This window comes from Homo sapiens, chromosome 4, assembly GCF_000001405.40.
Source record: "Homo sapiens chromosome 4, GRCh38.p14 Primary Assembly".
Classification (NCBI taxonomy): domain Eukaryota; kingdom Metazoa; phylum Chordata; class Mammalia; order Primates; family Hominidae; genus Homo; species Homo sapiens.
In genome coordinates, this window is record NC_000004.12 from 149,609,632 (window position 1) to 149,630,679 (window position 21,048).

The 21,048-nt window shown below is 35.0% G+C and overlaps 1 protein-coding gene across 16 annotated transcripts in view; it reads right to left on the minus strand.

Annotated features, from left to right (window-relative positions):
• The window catches only part of IQCM (IQ motif containing M), a 464,135-nt gene that overhangs the window by 257,923 nt on the left and 185,164 nt on the right, over positions 1–21,048 (minus strand). For 9 of the 16 annotated variants that reach the window (XM_017008904.3, XM_017008902.3, XM_017008900.3 and 6 more), the window contains 2 exons: positions 11,498–11,613; positions 426–464 (listed from right to left, as the gene is read on the minus strand). In XM_017008904.3, coding sequence (XP_016864393.1) covers positions 426–464; positions 11,498–11,613 — 155 coding nt within the window. The remainder of the gene's footprint in view (positions 1–425; positions 465–11,497; positions 11,614–21,048) is intronic. The other 7 variants (NM_001378180.1, NM_001363507.2, XM_017008903.3 and 4 more) reach the window with 1 other exon arrangement.

Here is a 21,048-nt window from a genome sequence, read left to right on the forward strand (position 1 = left end):
AATCATATGATTGTTTCAATAGATGCTGAGAAAGCATTTGACAAAATTCAGCATCCCTTTATGATAAAAACTCTCAACAAACTCGGTATAGGGGGAACATACCTCAACATAACAAAAGCCATAGAAGACAAACTCACAACCAATACCATTCTAAATGGAGAAAAACTGAAAGTCTTTCCTCTAATATCTGGGATAAGACAAGGATGTCCACTTTCACCACTTTTATTCAACATAGCACTATAAGTCTTAGACGGAGTATTTAACAAGAAAAATAAAGGGCATCAAAATTGAAAAGGAAAAAGTCAAATTATCCTAGTTTGCAGATTATATGATCACATATTTATAAAAACATAAGCACTCCACCAAAAAAATATTAGAACTGATAAACAAATTCAGCAAAATTGAAGAATATAAAATCAACTTACGAAAATCAGTAGCATGTTTATATGCCAACTGCAAACAATCTGAAAAAGAAACCAACAAAGTAATTCTATTTATAATAGCCACAAATAAAAACACCTAGGAATACACTTAACCAAAGAAGTAAAATATCTCTACAAGGAAAACTATAAAACATTGATGAAAGAAATTGAAGAGGACAAAAAAATGGAAGGGTATTCCAATGTTCATGAATTGGAAGAATCAATTTTGTTAAAATGTCTATACTACCCAAAGCAATCTACAAATTCAGTGTAAAACATATCAAAATACCAATGGCATTCTTCACAGAAATAAAAAATAATCCTAAAATTTATATGGAACTGCAAAAGACCCTGAATAGCCAAAGCAATCCTGAGTAAAAAGTACAAAGCTGGAGGCATTGCATTACCTGACTTCAAATTATACTATAAAGCTATGGTAACATAAACAGCCTGATAGTGGCATAAAAACAAATAGACCAGTGGAACAGAACAGAGAAACAAGAAGTAAATTCATGTATTTACAGTAAACTCATTTTCAACAAAGGTGCCAAGAACACGGCCTGGGAAAATAACAGTCTTCAATAAATGGTGCTGGGAAAACTGAACATCCATAGGCAGAAGAATGAAACTAGACCCCTATATCTCACCTTACACAAAACTCAAACGAAAATGAATTAAAGGCTTAAATATAAGACTCAAAACTATGAAAATACTAGAAGAAAACATTGGGTAAACACTCTAGGATGTAGGTCTTGGCAAAGATTTCTTGAATAAGACCTAAAAAGCACAGGAAGCCAAAGCAGAAATTAACAAATGGGATCATATTAAGTTAAAAAGCTGCTTCACAGCAAAGAAATCAACAAAGTAGAGACAGCCAACGAATGGGGGAAAATATTTGCAAATTACCACCTAACAAGTGATTAATAACCAAAATATATAAAAAGCTCAAACAACTCAATAGGAAAAGATAAATAATCTGATTTTAAAATAGGCAAAATATCTGAATAGACATTTCTCAGAAGAAGACATACAAACGGTCAAGTATATAAAAAATTGTCATCATCACTATTATCAGAGAAATACAAATCAAAACCACAGTAAGATATCATCTCAACCCAGTAAAAATGGCTTTTACTAAAAAAAATGGAATAATGGATGCTGGTGAGAATGCAGAGAAATGAAAAATGTAAATTACTATAGCCACTATGAAGAACAGTATGGAGGTTCCTCAAAAAACTAAAAATAGAACTACTACATGATTCAGCAACCCCACTGCTGGGTATATATCCAAAGGAAAGGAAATCAGTATGTCAAAGACGTAGCTGCACTTACATGTTTGTTGCACCACTATTCACAAATCCAAGATATAGTATCAACCTAAAAGTCCATCAACAAATGAATGAATAAAGAAAGTATGGTACATATACACAATAGAATATTATTCAGACATAAAAAGGATGAAATCCTGTCACTTGCAACAACATGAATGGAACTGGAGGACATTATGTAAAATGAAATAAGCCAGGCACAAAAGAATAAATATTGTACGTTCTCACTCACATATGGGAGCTAAAAAATAATTTTATCTCATGGAGAGAGGGAGTAAAATGATGGTTACCCAAGTCTGGGAAGAGTAATGGGGGTGGTGAGATAAAGAAGAGATGGTTAATGGGTACAAAAATATAGTTAGACAGACGGAATAAGATCTAGTGTTCAGTAGAACAATAGGGCAACTATGGTTAACTATGATTTATTGTATATTTCAAAATAACTTAAAAAGTGGAACTGGAATGTTCCTAACATAAAGAAATAATAAATACTTGAGATTTGATAATTATATGTTGTATCAAAATATCATATGTACCCCATGAAAATATACAACTATTACATATTTACAATAATTAACAATAATTTTATTATTTATAAAGAAAAGAGGTTTAATTGACTCACAGTTCTACATGGCTGGTGAGACCTCAAGAAATGTACAATCATGGTGGAAGGTGAAGGGAAGTAGGGCACATCTTACATGGGGGAAGGAGAGAGAGAGAGAGAGAGAGCAAAGGAGGAAGTACCACACACCTTCAAGCAATCAGATCTTGTGGAAATTCACTATCAAGGGGGATGTCCATTCCCATGACTCAATTACCTCCCACCAGGCCCTCCCCCAACATATGGGGATTATAATTTGAGATGAGATTTGGGTGAGGACCCAGAGCCAAACCATACTACTCTTTTGGCAATTATGATTGTAAAGCTCCAAAGCACATTCACGGCCATCTCTACCAAGTGAAATCACTTTATGTATGTCCAAAAATAACCTGAGCTTCATTTTATTTTTCCACCCATTTTCTCATTTACATATTTCTGAGGTCTTTTTTGTCACACTTTTAGACACAGATTTACAACCTTTGTGAAACAAGGTGAGTTATTAATATATAAATACATATGTATGTTCATTTTCAAAGGAGCAAGATGGATCACAAAGAAATGAAATGACTTGTACTAAAAGTAGCAAAGCAGGAACAATTCCTGTGCTCTAAATTGTACAATAAAATTGTTTTAAAAAACAAAAAAAGCGGGTTTTTTTGGTAACTATGTAACTGTAACTATGTAACTTTGTAAGCTATGTAACTGTAACTGTAAACTACATAAATTAATATAGTTTTTTCAAAGTAAATATCTATGTCATTTTGTCGAAGAGATTCATACATTAATATTTCATAGGAAAAGAAATATTCATTTCAAAATTAAAATTGGGAAGTTTAAAGATAATGTACAACCTTGGGCATCAATACTCCTTACAGTAGGAAGAAAACAAACACAAAACATAGATAAGAATTAACTACTGGAATGCTATTCAAAATGTCAAAAAAAATCATAGTCACTTACCTGTTAACTCAGGACCTGAGTTAATTCCAACCCCACTATAGAATTTCCCAAAAGTAATTTTATTTCTAAACAAAATGACCCCCCAAAATTAGGAAATCATATGAATAAAAAGAATTTTTAAATTTAGTAGTTCTGATGATTTGTGCTAATTCATAGAAATGTCAGAAAATCAAATGAGATAACCATCTTTTATCAAATGTAACCCATTAGAGGAGAAAATCATGAGTATGAAAATAATTACAGTACCTCCTCAAATGTTTTGGAGGAGAGAAGAAAAAGCGCAAAGAGAAGAAAATATGATGAGGGAGAAAAAAATGAGCAAATATGTTTTATATAATAAAAGTTAATTTACTATTTTTCATTATGTGATAAAATTTTTCAAGTGCATGCCCACAGTTTTCTGACAGTACAATTTGGTAAGGAATTTTAAAAAGATGTTGAAATTTCCAAGTCAGAAGAAGAAAATCTCCTTCGATTCTCCCCATATTCATTTTTACCAAAATGATTCAAGAAATTTCTCCAGAGAAAAATGAAAAATTTCGTATATTAAAATCTTGTCAATCCATTCTATGGTCAAAATTAACCTGATGTGAAGAACTTAAGTTATACTTGAAATTCCTGTTTTCACTTTTTTTTTTAATTATACTTTAAGTTTTAGGGTACATGTGCACAATGTGCAGGTTAGTTACATATGTATACATGTGCCATGTTGGTGTGCTGCACCCATTAACTCGTCATTTAACATTAGGTATATCTCCTAATGCTATCTCTCCCCGCTCCCCCCACCCCACAACAGGCCCCGGTGTGTGATGTTTCCCTTCCCGTGTCCATGTGTTCTCATTGTTCAATTCCCACCTATGAGTGAGAACATGCGGTGTTTGGTTTTTTGTCCTTGCAATAGTTTGCTGAGAATGATGGTTTCCAGCTTCATCCATGTCCCTACAAAGGACATGAACTCATCATTTTTTATGGCTACATAGCATTCCATGGTGTATATGTGCCACATTTTCTTAATCCAGCCTATCATTGTTGGACATTTGGGTTGGTTCCAAGTCTTTGAAACAATATGTTTCTACAAAACGAATGACCTGTTTTTATTTTTTTCATGACCTAAACCTATGTTTTTTAAAAAATATGACCAGCAATTCTTTTTTATTCTCCTCTCTCATGTAGGATGTGTTCCCCTTGGTGGGAGTGTTGAGGGTGGGGCTGCAAAGTCTAATGTCCAGAAGTCCATAATATGTTCTTTGAAAACAATTTTTAATGCAGCTTATTATGAGACTGAATTCTATTTGCTCGTAATCCTGTACTTCAAGCATCAAAGTTAGGCAAATTCTTTTCATTGAGAGTTAAGAAGCTATAAAGCGATTGAATGGCTTCCTCCTATTCTAGGGCATAAGCTCATTAAAGAGGTCTACATGGCACTTGATGATTATAGGTCCTTGCTTATCTCTTCAGCTTCATTTCTTGCCACCTTCCCTCTAGCATGCTGTGCTTTTGCCACACTGAATTTCTTTCAGTCTCTGAGATGAATCCTGTCTTTCCACCTTGGACAACCACAACTGTCCTTTCTGGGGCTGGAACAATTTTCCCGCTACCCCTTGGCCCTATCACCATTGCAAAGTGCATGTATTCATGCAGCACAGACATTCCCTTGCTTGTCAGCTCTTCCTCATTCTAGGGCATGGGTGTCCAGTTTTTTGGCTTCCCTGGGCAACATTGGAAGAAGAATTGCCTGGGGCCACACATAAAATACACTAACACTAACGATAGCTGGTAAGCTAAAAAGAAAAATCGCCAAAAAATCTGATAGTGTTTTAAGAAAGTTTACAAATTTGTAATGGACCTCATTTAAAGCCATCCTGGGCCACATGTGGCCCACAGGCTGCGAGCTGGACAAGCTTGTTCTAGGGCATCCACAAGTGGCAGAGCTCCTCCCAGTGACACCTTCCTGACTCTTAGGACCACTGCAACATAGTATGTTAGCCACTTGCTGAGGAGAGTCCTGTCATACTGACAGCTAATTGATTACAGTTATTTCACTCTCTTCTGTATTTCCAAATACTAACTAGAAATTACTTATACAAATTTCTGCCAATATTTGTTTCTATCCTCCTATTTTAAGAACACTATAGATAAGTGCATTGATTGTCACGTCTCAGAATTTTGATAAATACCAAGGTTAGATGTTGTTTTTTTTTCAGCTATGACTACAATCCCCTACATTATATGTTCCATGATTGCTTCATACATTATAAAGTTAGCAAACCTTTTAAAGAAGAGTTATGATGAGAAATTGCCTCAAGAAAGTTGGAGATGGTGATCTTTCCTATCAGACTGCAATGTAATATTACATTTTATGTTACACAAGGAATTACATTCCAGGTCTCACTCACCTTAGATAAATATTATCTTTCAGGATAATTATGGTTAAAAATATCTTAGTACTTCAGAGACCATAAAAAGTAATACTAGAAACTGTTTCTTCAGGATGCAGTTTTTAAAATTTTACATTAAAAAGTTTAGGGTCCCATGTGCCACTGATTAAAGTAACTGGAAATTCTAATATAATTCTAATACAATAAACATGTGGTTGCAGAAGTGAAACGTTTAAAGCATAAAGACATATAGCACTATTGATTTTTTTAATTAGAACTAAAAACATATGAGGATACAAAATACATTTTAAAAAGCACTTCAGGCTTAAAAAGGATAGTGTTCTTCTAGTCTAAAGAATGCATATCTACAATGACTTTATTTTAGCAAATTAAAATTTTGATAAGACTAACTAAGTTGTAAAGAGTTCTTCTAAGTAGAGTATGTTATATTTATCTCTCTTCCAATGAAATCAAAGACCAAGTTTCCTATGCCCTTGTTTCCACTCCTCTTTTAACAAGGCAGGCTTCTCTGTTTTGAGTTTTCCCAGTCACCTTTTGTCTTCTGAATTGATAAAACAATTTCACATCAAGATGACTTACAACTTCATATCCATTAGGATGTGAAGCACCAGAAAATATAAGAAAATGGGAGAAACTAGAACCCTTGTGCATTGCTGGTGGGAAGGTAAAATGGTACAGCCACTGTGGAAAATGATATGGTTATTCCTCAAAAAATTAAACAGAGAAATACATTATATTCTAGCATTACACTTCTGGGTACACACCCAGAAGAAGTAAAAGTAGAACTCAAACAATATCTGTACACCCATGTTCGTGGCAACATTATTCAAAATATCCAAAAGGTGGAAGCAACCCAAGTGTCCATTGATGGGAGAATGGATAAACAAAATGTAGTATATACATACAATGGAATATTATTCAGCCTAAGAAAGAAATTCTGACACATGATGCAATGTGTATGAACCTTGAAAACATGCTGAGATAAGCCAGCCACAAAAGAACAAATATTCTACGATTCTGTTTATGAGACACCTAGAGTAGTCAAATTAACGAAAACAGAAAGTAGAATGGTGGTTTCCAGGGAATCAAGGGAGAGACGTAGAGACAATTAGTGTTTACTATGTAGAGTTTCAGTTTGGGAAGATAAAAAAGCTCTGGAGATGGATAGTAATGATGGTTACACACAATGTGATTGTGATAAATGCCAAAGAACTATAAACTTAAAAATGGTTAAAATGGTAAAATATATGTTATGTATATTTTACAAAATATAAATTTATAAACAATAATTTTAAATTATTTTCATTATTTAAAATGAAAAAAGTCTACTTAGAACTTGGTGTTTACATGGACACAGGGAGGGGAACAACACACACAGGGCATGTTGGGCGGCAGCGGGGTGTGGGGAGGGGAGGGAGAGCATAAGGACAAATAGCTAATGCATTTGGGGCTTAAAACCTATGTTCCAGGTTGATAGGTGCAGCAAACCACCATGGCATACATATACCTATGTAACAAACCCAAACCTAGGTGCCAAGTTAATAGGTGCAGCAAACCACCATGGCACATGTATACCTATGTAACAAACCTACATGTTCTGCACATATATCCTGGAACTTTTTTTTTTTTTTTTGAGATGGGGTTTCACTCTTGTTGCCCAGGCTGGAGTACAATGGTGCAATCTCAGCACCACAATCTCTACCTCCTGGGTTCAAGGTATTCTCCTGCCTCAGCCTCCCGAGTAGCTGGGATTACAGGCATGTGCCACCACTCCTGGCTAATTTTGTATTTTTAGTAGAGACAGGGTTTCTCCATGTTGCTCAGGGTGGTCTTGAACTTTCAACCTCAGGTGATCCACCTGCCTCAGCCTCCCATAGTGCTGGAATTACTGGCATGAGCCACTGCACCCAGCCAATATCCTGGAACTTAAAGTAAACTAAAAAAACAAACAAAAAAAGAACTTGGTGTTTGATTCCTGTTATAGGTGTTGGTATTTTAAAAAATAAACGAAAGGGGAATCCTTACTAAAACATCCATTTAGACTTCCAGTGGTGAAAATTGAAAATGAACTGAGCAGCAAAAAACAAATTTGAGTGTTTGAATATCATTCTCTCATATTTATTCAGACACACCCCCAACCATGTAGTTGGTACACAAGGGTAAGATATAAACCTTTATTACCTCTAACTGGACAGGCAAAAAAGGTCACTTTATTGACCACCTGGTGTCCACTCCAGTACACCCCAAACTTTCAGTTTATAAACACCTAAAGTCTCCATCAAAAAAACTATTAGAACAGATAAATGAACTCAGTAAAGTTTCAGGATACAAAATCAATGTACAAAAATTAGCAGCATTTCAATATACCAATAATGATCAAGTTGGAAACCAAATCAATAACTCAATCCCATTTATAATAGCTACAGAAAAAAAAACACTGAGGAATACATTTAAGCTAGGGAGTGAAATATCTCAACAAGGACAACTAAAAAATTCTGATGAAAGAAATCATAGATGGCACAAACAAATGGAAAAGCATCCCAGTCTCATGAATTGGAAGGATAAAAATAATTTAAATGATCATACTGCCCAAGGCAATGTCTAGATTTAATACAATTCCTATCAAATTACCAATGTCATTCTTCACAGGATTAGAACAAATAATCCTAAAATTTATATGGAAGCAAAAAAGAGCCTGAATAGCCAAAGTAATCCTAAGCAAAAATGATAAAGCTAGAGGTATCACATTACCTGACTTCAAATTATACAAGACTATAATAATCAAAACAGCGTGACATTGGTTCAAAAATAGATACATACATCAATGGAAGAATAAATAACCCAGAAATAAAGTCACATTATTACAACCAAGTGATCTTTGACAAAGGCAATTAAAAAATACATTGGGAAAAGGACACCCTATTCAAGAAATGGTGCTGGTAAAATTGGAAAGCCATATGCAGAAGAATAAAACTGGACCCCTATCTCTCACTATGCACAAAAGTTAACTCAAGATGGATTAAAGACTTAAATGTAAGACCTGAAGCCATAAAAATCCTAGAAGAAAACCTAGGAAAAAGTCTTCTGGACATTGGCCTAGGCAAAGAATTTACAGATAAGCCCTCAAAAGGAAATGCAATGAAAACAAAAATGGACAAATGAGACCTCATTAAACTGAAAAGCTCCTGTACAAGATAATAATTAAAAGAATAAACAGACAACCTACAGAATGGGAGAAAATCCTTACAAACATGCATCTGGCAAAAGGTTAATATCCAGAATCTATTAGAAATGCAAACAAGAAAAAAAAATCCCATTAAAAAGTGGGCAAAGGACATAAGTGGACATTTTTCAAAAGAAGACACAAAAGCAGCCAACAAACATATGAAAAAATGCTCCACATCACTAATCGCCAAAGAAATGCAAATTAAAACCACAATGAAACACCATCTTACACATCACAGTGGCTATTGAAATGTCAAAAAACAGTAAATGTTGGTGAGGATGCAGAGAAAAGGGAACACTTATACAGTTAGTGGAAATATAAGTTAGTACACCCTCTATGGGAAACAGTCTGGAGATTTCTCAGAACTAAAAATAGAACTAACTTCAGTTCAGCAATTCAACTACTGGGTATTTACCCAAACAAATAGAAATCATTGTATACACACATTCATTATGTTTATGGCAGCACTGTTTACAATAACAAAGTCAGAATAAACGTAAATGTCCATCAATAGATGACTGGATTAAAAATGTGGGATGGATATATATATATATATATATATATACACCATGGAATACTACTCAGTCATATAAAAGAATGAAATCATGTATTTTGCAGCAATGTGGATGGAATTGGAGGCCATTATCCTAAGCGAAATGACTCCGAAGCAGAAAGTCAAAAACCACATGTTCTCATTCGTAAGTGGGAGCTAAACTATGGGTAGCGATGGTCATCCAATAGACACTGGAGATGCTAATAGGTGGGAGGATGGGAAAGGGGTGAGGGATGAAATGCTATCTATTGTGTACAATGTACATTATTCAGGTGGCAGCTACACTGGAAGCCCAGACTTCAGCACAATGTAACTATCCATGTAAAACAACTGCACTATCCCTAAATCTATAAAAACAAACATAATAAAAACATTAGAAATAAAAAAATTAGCTTTAGTAAATTTGACTCACAAGGAATTTAGCAACATATGCTAAATATGATATATTAATAACTTAAAAGTTTTGGTTTACAGAAAAAAATAAAAATCCAACATGTGTTATTTAAAATGACAGATTAAGAACTATTCAACAGGTAGATAAAAGAATTTGGTAAAATATATTTCAGTTGTCTAATGATGTTATGGACTAAATTGTGTCCCTTTGAAATTCATATGTAGAAGTTCAAACCTCCACTGTAACTTGATTTGGAAATAAGACCTTTAAGGAGGTAATTAAGATTAAATGAGGTCATAAGGGTAGGGTCCTAATCCAATATGACACCAGGGATGCATTAGTACAGAAGAAAGACAACATGGCCGGGCATGGTGGCTGACACCTGTAATCCCAGCACTTTGGGAGAGTAAGGTGGGCAGATCACCTAAGGTCAGGAATTTGAGACCAGCCTAACCAATATGGTGAAACCCCGTCTCTACTAAAAATACAAAAATTATCCAGGCATGGTGGCAAGCATCGGTAATCCCAGCTACTCAGAAGGCTGAGGCACAAGAATCACTTAAACCCGGCAGGTGGAGGTTGCGGTGAGCTGAGATCACACCATTACACTCTAGCCTGAGCAACAGAGAGAGACTCCGTCTCAAAAACAAAAAAAAAAGAAAAGAAGAAGAAGAAAGACAATGTGAGGACACAATGAGAAGGTAGCAGTCTGCAAGCCAAGGAAAAGGGTCTCAGGAGAAACCAACGCTGCCAGCAACTTTATCTTGGACTTCCAGCCTCCAGAACAGTAAGAAAATAAATTTTTGTTGTTTAATCCATCCAGTCTGTGGTATTTTGTAATAACAGCAAATGGCAAGTCCAGGAAAAAAAAATCAGTGATATGAAAAGAGAGAAAAAGATAAAGAAGATAAAGGACAGGACAGACATATTCACACACACAACAGAACATGTGGGAGATGTAAGAAACCCAGACATATTTACAGACACTGCGAAACACAATGTTGTAAAATAGCATTACGTGGCCTTTTAAGAAATTGTTGCTAAAGATGTCTGAATAACATGAGTTTCTTCTACTATTCACATGTATATATTAGGACTTGCTTTGAGAAATAAATGAATTTAAAGTACCAATTCTACTTTCAGATCACAAGTTCTCATGTCCTGGATTAGAGTCTTCATTCAGAAAACCATCAACATGTGGTCATAAAATTGCCCTTGGATTTTTTAATCCTTCCATTATCATGCCTTTAACAGATGTCTACATTCTACATTCTCCCCTTGCCTTCATTATGTTTTCTTGACAGTCTATGTACCATTACAAAAATAGTGGAGGTGCTAACACATTTGGAGCAAACCATGTGATGATCGCTTTAACCAATGCTCTTCAAATAAAAAATGACATGCATATTGTGGGATCGGGTGATCAGCAAGATTTACACAAGACACAAGAACAAAACTAAAGCAATGCTTCAGAAAAAATGAATTTCAGTGGAGAACTATCTTAGGACTGAAACAGGTCCATAGTAAAATCTCAAGTGCTTTCATCAAAATTAATGCAATAATTTACTGGAAAAATGGCAATTCAAATCTACATCCAGTTTTATAAATACTTACAGAATAATAATCCCGAAATATTGATGATGATTGAGAGAAACTAACTCGACGGGAGTCACAAGCCAAACGGAAAGACCTTGTCAGCACAAATCCTCTCCAGTCATAGAATGCTTTGTCTGTTAGAAATATCAATGCAGGTTAAAACAATATCTATCCAGGAAAAGTACACACTGATTATATTGCTTAATGTTGCAAAGAGTAAAGCAAATCATCTTTATGGCCTCACTATTCTGTATTAAAATCACATCTTGTCATCTAATCGTAGAGAAATGAAGACATGATAGGATTGCATAGAGAGAGGCTTCAATTAATTGGCTCCTTCATATGGTAAGGTTCTCGTGTTTTTATTGCACAGTGTGCCCATCAGAAAACTATAGGTTCATTCTCTTTACTATCTCCTCATGAAGAACATCAACTTCTTTTTTTTTAAAGGAGGCTTAAAGGAAAATCATGTTTGCGAATAGCACTTATAAAAATAAAAGGAAAACCTCTCTGTGTTACATACTTTAAAAGAAAATTCAGTATTTTATAAGGCACAAGTTTTGATATTGCAAAGTAAATTAAATTATTAAAAGTCTTTAAGGTAAATAGGTCGAAAGCACAAAAGGTTAGCCAGCATCACCACATATTTGTTCTGTCTCATGGCAGTTGGTACATAAGATTTCTACAGAAACCATTTTTCTTTAATCATAGGAAAGAGATTTAAGATTTATTTGTCCATTTTTTTCCTCAGAGATATTAATCATTTAAAAAGAAGGAAATTCAGTTCAATCCTGCCATCGAAATGAATCAAACTATTTTCATATTTCCAATTTTCCTTCATATATGTATATATATGTATATATGTGTATCTATGTAGTCTTTCCTGAAACTTTCAATTTAATAAAGTCATCCATGGACTGCTTAGTTTTACATAAATTTATAGAAAACTCAAGAAGTAATAAATTCTCTCACTTCATTGCTTCAATTTATTTACAGGATCATAATTTGAGTGGTCTATGGGGAGGCAATGAAGTAACATAAAATAATAAAAAGGTAATGTTATCTCAGAGACATTCTAATCAGTACATAAACATTCTGCCTCATTTTAACTTTATATATATTTCTTCCATTTCAGTCAAGAGTCTCTGCACTCTTTCAAAAAGGCAAAATCTCTAGAAGAGGCAACACAATCATATATTTCAATCACAATCCAATGTGAATCAGTGGAATTCTTTTTTATTTTTTTTTTGGAGACGTAGTCTCACTCTTTCCCCCAGGCTGGAGTGCAGTGGTGCGATCTCGGCTCACTGCAAGCTCTGCCTCCCAGGTTCACGCCGTTCTCCTGCCTCAGCCTCCTGAGTAGCTGGGACTACAGGCACCAGCCTCCACGCCCGGCTAATTTTTTGTATTTTTTAGTAGAGACGGGGTTTCACAGTGTTAGCCAGGATGGTCTCGAACTTAAAATTATTCAACGGAAGCAAAGGCCAATAACGAGTAGCTTGTAGAGAATCTGAGCATTTTAGTACCTAAGAAGAAGATAGCAAGGGAAAGGCCATGCCCTTTATATTTTCATTTGGCAGCTTTGTAAGACCAAGGGAGTATAAAAGAGTAACACAAGAGTTATTAAGATGTATACACCCTTACGTTTCTTATGAAGCCCTCTTAACGAATTCAAAGAATTCCCCAGCTCATGGGCATTATTCCTGACCTACCCACTCCCCTTAATGCACCATTACGTACAATAAGCAATATCTCATATTTTAGATAATCATGCTTCTCTTTCCAATCTCATTTTGAATTTATAAACTGTTCCAAGGCAAGGACTATAACTTACCTGGAATTGCTCTGTGTTTCTGATTCATTAGCAATGCGAATAAGGTAGCTATGTAAATACTGGTGAATAAGAAGGAGTATATTGAACATTCCCAACACAAAGAAATGACAAATGTCTGAGATGATAAATATATTAACTACCCTGATCTGATCACTATACATTATATGTATAAAAACATCACTCTGTACTCCCATGAATGTGTACACTTATTTGTTAATTTAAAAAATAAAATTAAATAAATAAATAAAATTCCTCTCTGATTAAAAAATGAATTGTCTGAAAAGGTTAAATCTTACAGGCAAAGAGATTATCTTCTTGATCATTGAAGAGTCCAACCCAATATATGAAACTAAAACCTATACAACTTATTTTTCCAATAGAGTCCAGAGCATTTTCAAATGTTTTATCTTGCTTACTCATAAAACAGACTCACAGAGTTGAAAACACCATGCATTATTTTCTCCCAGTATATAGGTATCATACTAGAAAATATAGCTATAACTTTTCCGCTTCAGGAAGCAGTAAAGCCTCCACTAAAATCCTCAAGGTAATCATTCACATACTGATGTATGCTAATGACTCCTCCTTAGAAGCCAGGCACAGAAGGTGACATGCAACAAATTCCAGTTTATTCCACAAAGTCAGTCGAAAGTTATAAGCTAATAGTTTGATGAAGACCAAAGTCATTAATCAGACTAAATCTTCACAAACCCTTCCTGGAGTCAACAATCTTCACAGATAATGACACATAGAAATAAAGGTTCTGAATCCCAGGTGTGTGTGTGTGTGTGTGTGTGTGTGTGTGTGTACACATGTGCACAAGAGTAGGCTGTATATTGATAGATGGAAAAGAAGTCTTGTCAGTAATCCCAGTTATCAGTCAGCAGGACAGAATAAAATATTGTAAGAGTAAACGAATCTGAGGAAAACGCAATATCAAGATTTGGAAAGAAACCAAAATGGTCACATCAGTTTAACAAGGAGTTAAAAAGTAGCTAGTGTTGAACATAAAAAAATTTGTTAAATAACTACTCATACTGATATCTGACTTTGTGTTTCTTCAATATTTTAGACTATCATCAAAAAAATATTAATTCATGTTAGTGTGCTGCCTTTCTGCATATCTAATTTGCATATTGAGACTTAAAAGTCTTTCACTTGCTTTGTATGCGCCATAAAACTGAATATAATGATGTGCCCCAAGTGTGTGTGTGTGTGTGTGTGTGCGCGCGCATGCATGTGCTCCTGGATTAGAACCCGATTTGGCATTGACTACAAGGCTAACCAACAAAACCATAAGAGTGAAAGGTCCCATAGAATCCAACTGAAATAAATACATAAAGAAACAGAAAATCCTAAGAAATGGGCTTTTAAAATTCTGACTTTTAGATATTTTTCACCAGACCATCTCCCCTCACTTTCTAGCATCATCTTGACGTTTATAATGGTAATCATTTTTCAATTTTATTTTCTGTTTTTATTCAAATTTATGTAGTTGACAATTAGCCCATTATTTACACAGGTGGGAGACATTTCCAAAACCTAATAAGTAGTTGTTATTTTATAAGCTTAAATTATACAAATGACTCACAGAAAACTGAAAAGATCGTATACGACAGGTGATAATGTCAGGGAATGAGAAACAAGGGAAAGAAAAGGGAAGGAAAGAAAAGTTCTTAGGTAGTTAAAACAATCCCCACATCTATAATTTTTGTAGTGACAAATATTATCTTAGTATCGCAAATGAATAGATTGGTTCAATTCACCTGGATATCAGCAAAAGACCCAAAGGCAATAGTAGTTCAACGTTTAAAAATATACTGTTTTGGTCAACTTAGAAACCAAATGCTCTTAAGAAATAGTCTGTATATCTGCCTTCCAGAGTAGAAGCAAGTTCAAATGAAAATGTATCTTTATTAGGATATGATAAAACCAAAGACATTACTGAGTTTAGTGGTCCCGTGTCCCTAGAGCCTCTTTTATGCCAAGCTCGTTCTGTTTCCCTTTTATCAATTCTCTCGTATCAATTAATTCTTTGAGTTAATTGCACATGCAGTTTTAATCTGTAGGTAATTACAAACAATTAATAGTTAGGAGACAGAATTAGCAGTTCCTAGTTTGATTATCTATATAATTAAAAGGGGTGGCAAACTAGAGTTGACAAATAGCATCTTAATCATTTGAATAATCAAACCCCAGAAGCTTGCTTGGGTGGCTGAATTCCATCTGTTACATTAGTTTAAATTTTAGAATTAATGACTGAAATGTCCATTTAAATCAATTCATATGTGTTGAATTTATAGTACAAAATGAACAAGGCCTTTACTCTAAAATTACTTAAACCACCTTCTTTTGTTTGTTTATAATAAGTTGTTTCCAAAAGGATTCAATGAAAACAAAGATTTGTAGAGGAGAAAAAGTAATATATTTCCCTCACCCATTGGAAGTGTTCATGGAGGAGACATCCCTATAACAAAGACTGATTAACAAGAGAAAAGTATAACAAGCTTGTTTATCAAAGTTTTGTGTAACATAGGAGGCTTCAGAAATGAAGACACAAAGACTCAGGGAGAACTGCATTTTTTATGTAGAAGTATGATTGGACAAAATGTGGTATGACCTTAGTAAACTAGGGGAAACTCAGCAAGGCTTATTTCTTCGGATTTTTCTTGGCTTCCAGATATGGGGCAGGACATTTGTCACAAGAGAGTCTTCAGGAGGGAAGGGAGGAAGTCGAGAGTGAAGTTCCCGGGTTTTATTGCTAGCTTTGGAGGAGAGGAATTCTAGTTTCTATGTCCAGCTTCTAGGGAGAAAAATCCAGAGAGGGCTTCCTGCTTCTACTGTCCTCTCAATTCTTGCAGCTTAAAATACTCAGCATACCAAGGCACCACATTTTTGGGGTATCGTGTTCTGAGTCCTGACAGATTCGATAGACTAAATTATGTACATCTAGTGAATGCCAGTTAATACTCATGGATACCATTTCTATGTTATAAAATATCTAAGAAATATGGATAATTCTTTTCATACTATGTTCTGTTTAATACTTTTTGTGCTGTGATGGTTAATAATGAGTGTCAACTTGACTGGATTGAAGGATACAAAGTATTGATGCTGGGTGTGTCTGTGAGGGTGTTGCCAAAAGAGATTAGCATTTGAGTCAGTGGGGTGGGAAAGGCAGACCCACCCTTAGCCTGGGTGGGCACAGTCTAATCAACTGCCAGCATAGCTAGAATATAAGCAGGCAGAAAAATATGAAAAGAGACACTGGCCTAGCCTCCCAGCCTACATCTTTCTCCCATGCTGGATGCTTCCTGCCCTCGAACATCAGACTCCAAATTCTTCAGTTTTGGAGCTCGCATTGGCTCTCCTTGCTCCTCAGCCTGCAGACAGCCTATTGTGGGACCTTTGTGGGATCTTGTGATTGTGTTAGTTATACTTAATAAACATATATATATATAAGTTTATAGCAAATAAGACATACTATTTTGCTATCTGAAGGAACCAGAAGTTTGTAGATAGCAAATACTAAGCAGCAAAACAAGCTTAAGGTAAGTTAGAAAATGTATGGGAACTTCATTCTGATTAGAAAAGAATGTGATATAGAACAGTAGCATCACTGTTGCATAACATCTTTCTGAATTGCCAAGTATTTGAACAAGTTTGGTAGATACTTTGAAGCTAATAGTAGATAAAAATTGTTCAAAAAAATAATGACTTCTGGTTCAATATGGTCTGTTACCTTTGGCTGTGAGGCAGCCCCTTTACAACTTCAATAAATACTATAATGATAAAGGAGAAGATGAAAATCTCAAGATCACAAAAAATAAATCTAACCATTTACCAATTTGCAATTGAGGAGAAAATTTAATTAGGATAATGGAAGTGAATTGAGGAAAGCAATCAGTGACTTTTACATAATAATATACTCACCCCTCCCTAATCTGAAAGATGGTAGAAAGATGCTTAATATCTCCCAAGGAAAAAAATACAGAAAAAAAAAGAACAAAAAATGTTTCTCTACAATGTAGGTGCTGCTTTAAAATAACTGATTCCCTTTTCCTACCTTCATCTACCACAATTCACTTAGACACTACAGCTCCAAGACAACAACTAGGAAAGAAAGCAGCCCTGGCTTCAGCAGCAGTATTTGATACAGCCCTATGGAAAGGAAAGAGTTCTGTGTGGAGGCTGGGGAGGGCAGGTATTGATAACAATGCATAATGGAGATTGTAATTTTTCATGAGGTAAATAGCTGAAAATAATAAGAATGAAGGTGTGGAATAGGAAAGTCTCCACCTCAGCAGAGCTCAACTTTTTGAGACAGGTGTCTGCAAGTTACTGGGAATTAGGCAGAGAACCAGGCATTGACACCTGATCATCAACTATAGAACTAGATTTTTCTCAGGGCTGAGAAAAATCCACATGTTCTTTCTATTTGTAATCGCTCACTGCATAGATCAATTTCTCCTTATCTGGGGCAAAGTAAATAAACTAGGGCCTATATTAATCATGGTAATACTTGTTAACACTTATTGAAGGCTCAAATTACTAAACAATTTACACACATTACCTGACCTATGCTGCAGAATAACCCTATGAGGCAGATGTTCCATTTAACAGAGGAGAAAACATATTATGTCCCTTGGTCAAGTTCAGAGGGTAAGAGGTTGTGTGAACCCAGGTCTATCTTGAAGCTTACCTGTGACTCTGACACAAGGGAAAAGGTCTCTGTGGTAGACTGTTCAGAAAGAGACCCATGTCCTAATCCCTGAAACCTATAAATGTTATTAGCTTATATGGCAAAAGAGACTTTGCAACTGTGATTAAATTAAGGATTCTGAAATGGGGAGGGAGATTATCCGGGATTGTCCTGGTGGGCACCACATGTAATCACAAGTGTCCTTACAAGAGAGGCAGAGGCAGACTTTACTACAGAAGAGAAGATATGATGAGGCAAAAAATAGAATGGAGTGATGTGAAAAAGGGCTCATAAGTCAAGGAATGCAGGTGGCCTCCAGAAGCTGGAAAAGGCAATGGAAACAGATTCTTCCCTAGCATCTCTGGAAGGAACTAGTCCTGCTGACAGCTTGACTTAATTCAGTGAAATTGATTTCAAACTTCTAGCCTCTACAAATATAAGAAAAAATTGGGGATTGTTTCAAGTTACCAGGTTTTCAGTAATTTGTTACAGCAGCCATAGGGAAACTAACACAGTCTATAATTCTAAAAATTCAGTAAAACTGTTTAAATCTAAAAATATTCTGCTAGACCCAGGGGAAAATTATAGAAAAGTGCTTGGCATTCTCACTATATTATAATAAGCCAACTCTTTGAAATAGAAGCCAAAACAATAAAGAAATAACTAAAAGTTTAACAATAATAATAATTGTAAGTCAAATAAAAATGAGAATTAGCATTTTTAAAAGGGAAGAAATACAAAGAAACCAAAAATGTAATGGCAGAATAAAAATGTACTTCAGAGTTAGTAGGAGTATAAGTGACAGCATGGAATATCAAATGACTGGATTTGGCAAGCACTCCTAGAATGCAGAAGAAAAGCATCAAAGATGAGAATTATAAGAGAGAAGATTATAGATTAAAGAGCACAAAAAATAAATATCCATCAAAGGAACCACACACATTACTGAAGATGAAACTAGAACAATCAGAAATGAAGAAAACATACTATGTAATAATTTCCTAAGCTGAACAAAAGATTTGAATCATCTGACTATTGGAGTTCACTGAATTATGGGGTAAGTTTATTAAAAGAGACTTGCATACAAGTATATTCGGCAAAATTACAGGAGTAAAGAAAACTTCAATGATAAGAATAAAGAAAATTTAATATGTATTCAAGAAGAAAAACATCTGCAAAGGTGTAAACTCCAGGTTATTCTCAAATTTCTTCTGTGAAACAGCAAAAGAATCAATAAATAATAGACCACCAACAGAATTTTCAGGAAAATGAAAAGTTAAATAAATTTTATAACCAAATTGCCTTCCATGTGTAAAGGCTAGGAAAAAACACCATTATCAAATACACCAATGCTCTGAAAATTTGCTCAGAAAACACTTAACTAAAGACTGAGGCATGAATCAATAAAAGAATTTAGAAACCACTGTGTAAGAGAACTAGCAGTTCTTACCCTCACCAATATACTCAGTTCTCATAGGATCAGGTGTAGTTACATGGATTCTATAGCTTGGTCTTAAAGTGTGGTCCTGCCTGGCTTTACCTCACAGTTTCTATTCTGCATATTCTACTTTCTTAGGAACTAAACCATTTTTTTCCCCTAGGGTATAAACTTGAACTCACTCACAGTTCAAATGGAATGAGCTTTCAAACTGAATCCTGTTCTATGATTATCCAAAGAAACAATAACCAGTTTGTTCTGTCATGCACTTGCAAAGACTAAACATTTTATTTGGCTTGAACATGTACCGAGAGACCCAATATAATGGCGATTTTGATTTTCTTATAACTTAAATATGAGTTTTCTCCATTTTAGCAATTCAAACTAAATCACCTGAATCATGACCTTGCCCTTCAGAAAGCTCTTCCTTATATCATGGGAACAGCCTCTGGGTGTTCCTATAAAGCTAGGTGACTTAACTAAGAGAAAAAAAAATTAACAAGCAATTGTCTTTAGGCAGCAGAATACTAGATGGCTGTCATGATAATGTTCTGTATTTTCCAAATGTTTTGCAATTAATCATAACTAATGGCAATTTTAGAGGAAACACATTAAAAATAAGTCTATATAATTTTAGGTAAAAGTGGGCAAAAATTATGTTAAAATTAGGAGCAAAAGCAAGGTATGGAGAAAGCAAAATGAATTTTAGAAATGTTTGCCTCAAAGGAAGCATTAGATTAAGACTAAATTGCACTCATTTTTTTCTAAAGAGAACATTTTGTATTTGCAAACGAGAAAATACAATTTGTTTAAACTTCCTTTAATAAAGATACATAATAAAATGAATGTTTCCTTTAAATATGCCCTCAATGGCACCTTTTTGGGAGCGGGTGTGGGGTGGGGGGGTGGGCAGGGTGTGAACCACAGTATCATTAGGTAAAAGTGAGAACTCCTATTACCTTCCCAGGAAAGGAGAGAGACAGCCTGCTGTGTCATAATAGCTTTAGAAAGCTTTGGTCTCAGGCTTACAAAGTGAAAACTCTTGATTAAGAAAATCAGAGGTCCTGATGACAAGTCTATCAAAGATTGACTTTTGCAATGCAGGGGCTACTATCTGGCTTGGATGGCAGCATACTTGTCATCTTTGTCAGGAAGCACTCTGCCAAACGCAGTTCTTGCGGGCAATGGACTGCAAACTCCAGCAGGATTGGGACTGTGTCCCGGGCACTGTTTTGCTGCTTGCATAACCACAGTTACTGGAACAGGATATGCACTAATTTTATAGTACAAATGATTGTTATGGTGAACTAGATAGTACATGTTTTACAGATAACAGTGAAGTATAGGTTTCTAAGCAAGAAAGACAGAGGTCCTGGGGAAAAGTGGACACCGAGTGATAATTTAAAGGGCATATTCTTAGTGGTCTACCTGAAAAGGAAGCAATAATTAATTAGTTTTTCATTTATCTCACATAATTTGATTTTTAAAAAAATAAGAATTATTCCAAGTTTATCGTGTATTGATATATGAATCATATGTACCTTACCTATTTTAGCCAAGGCTTTGATGCCTGAACTCATACATCCCTGATGAAA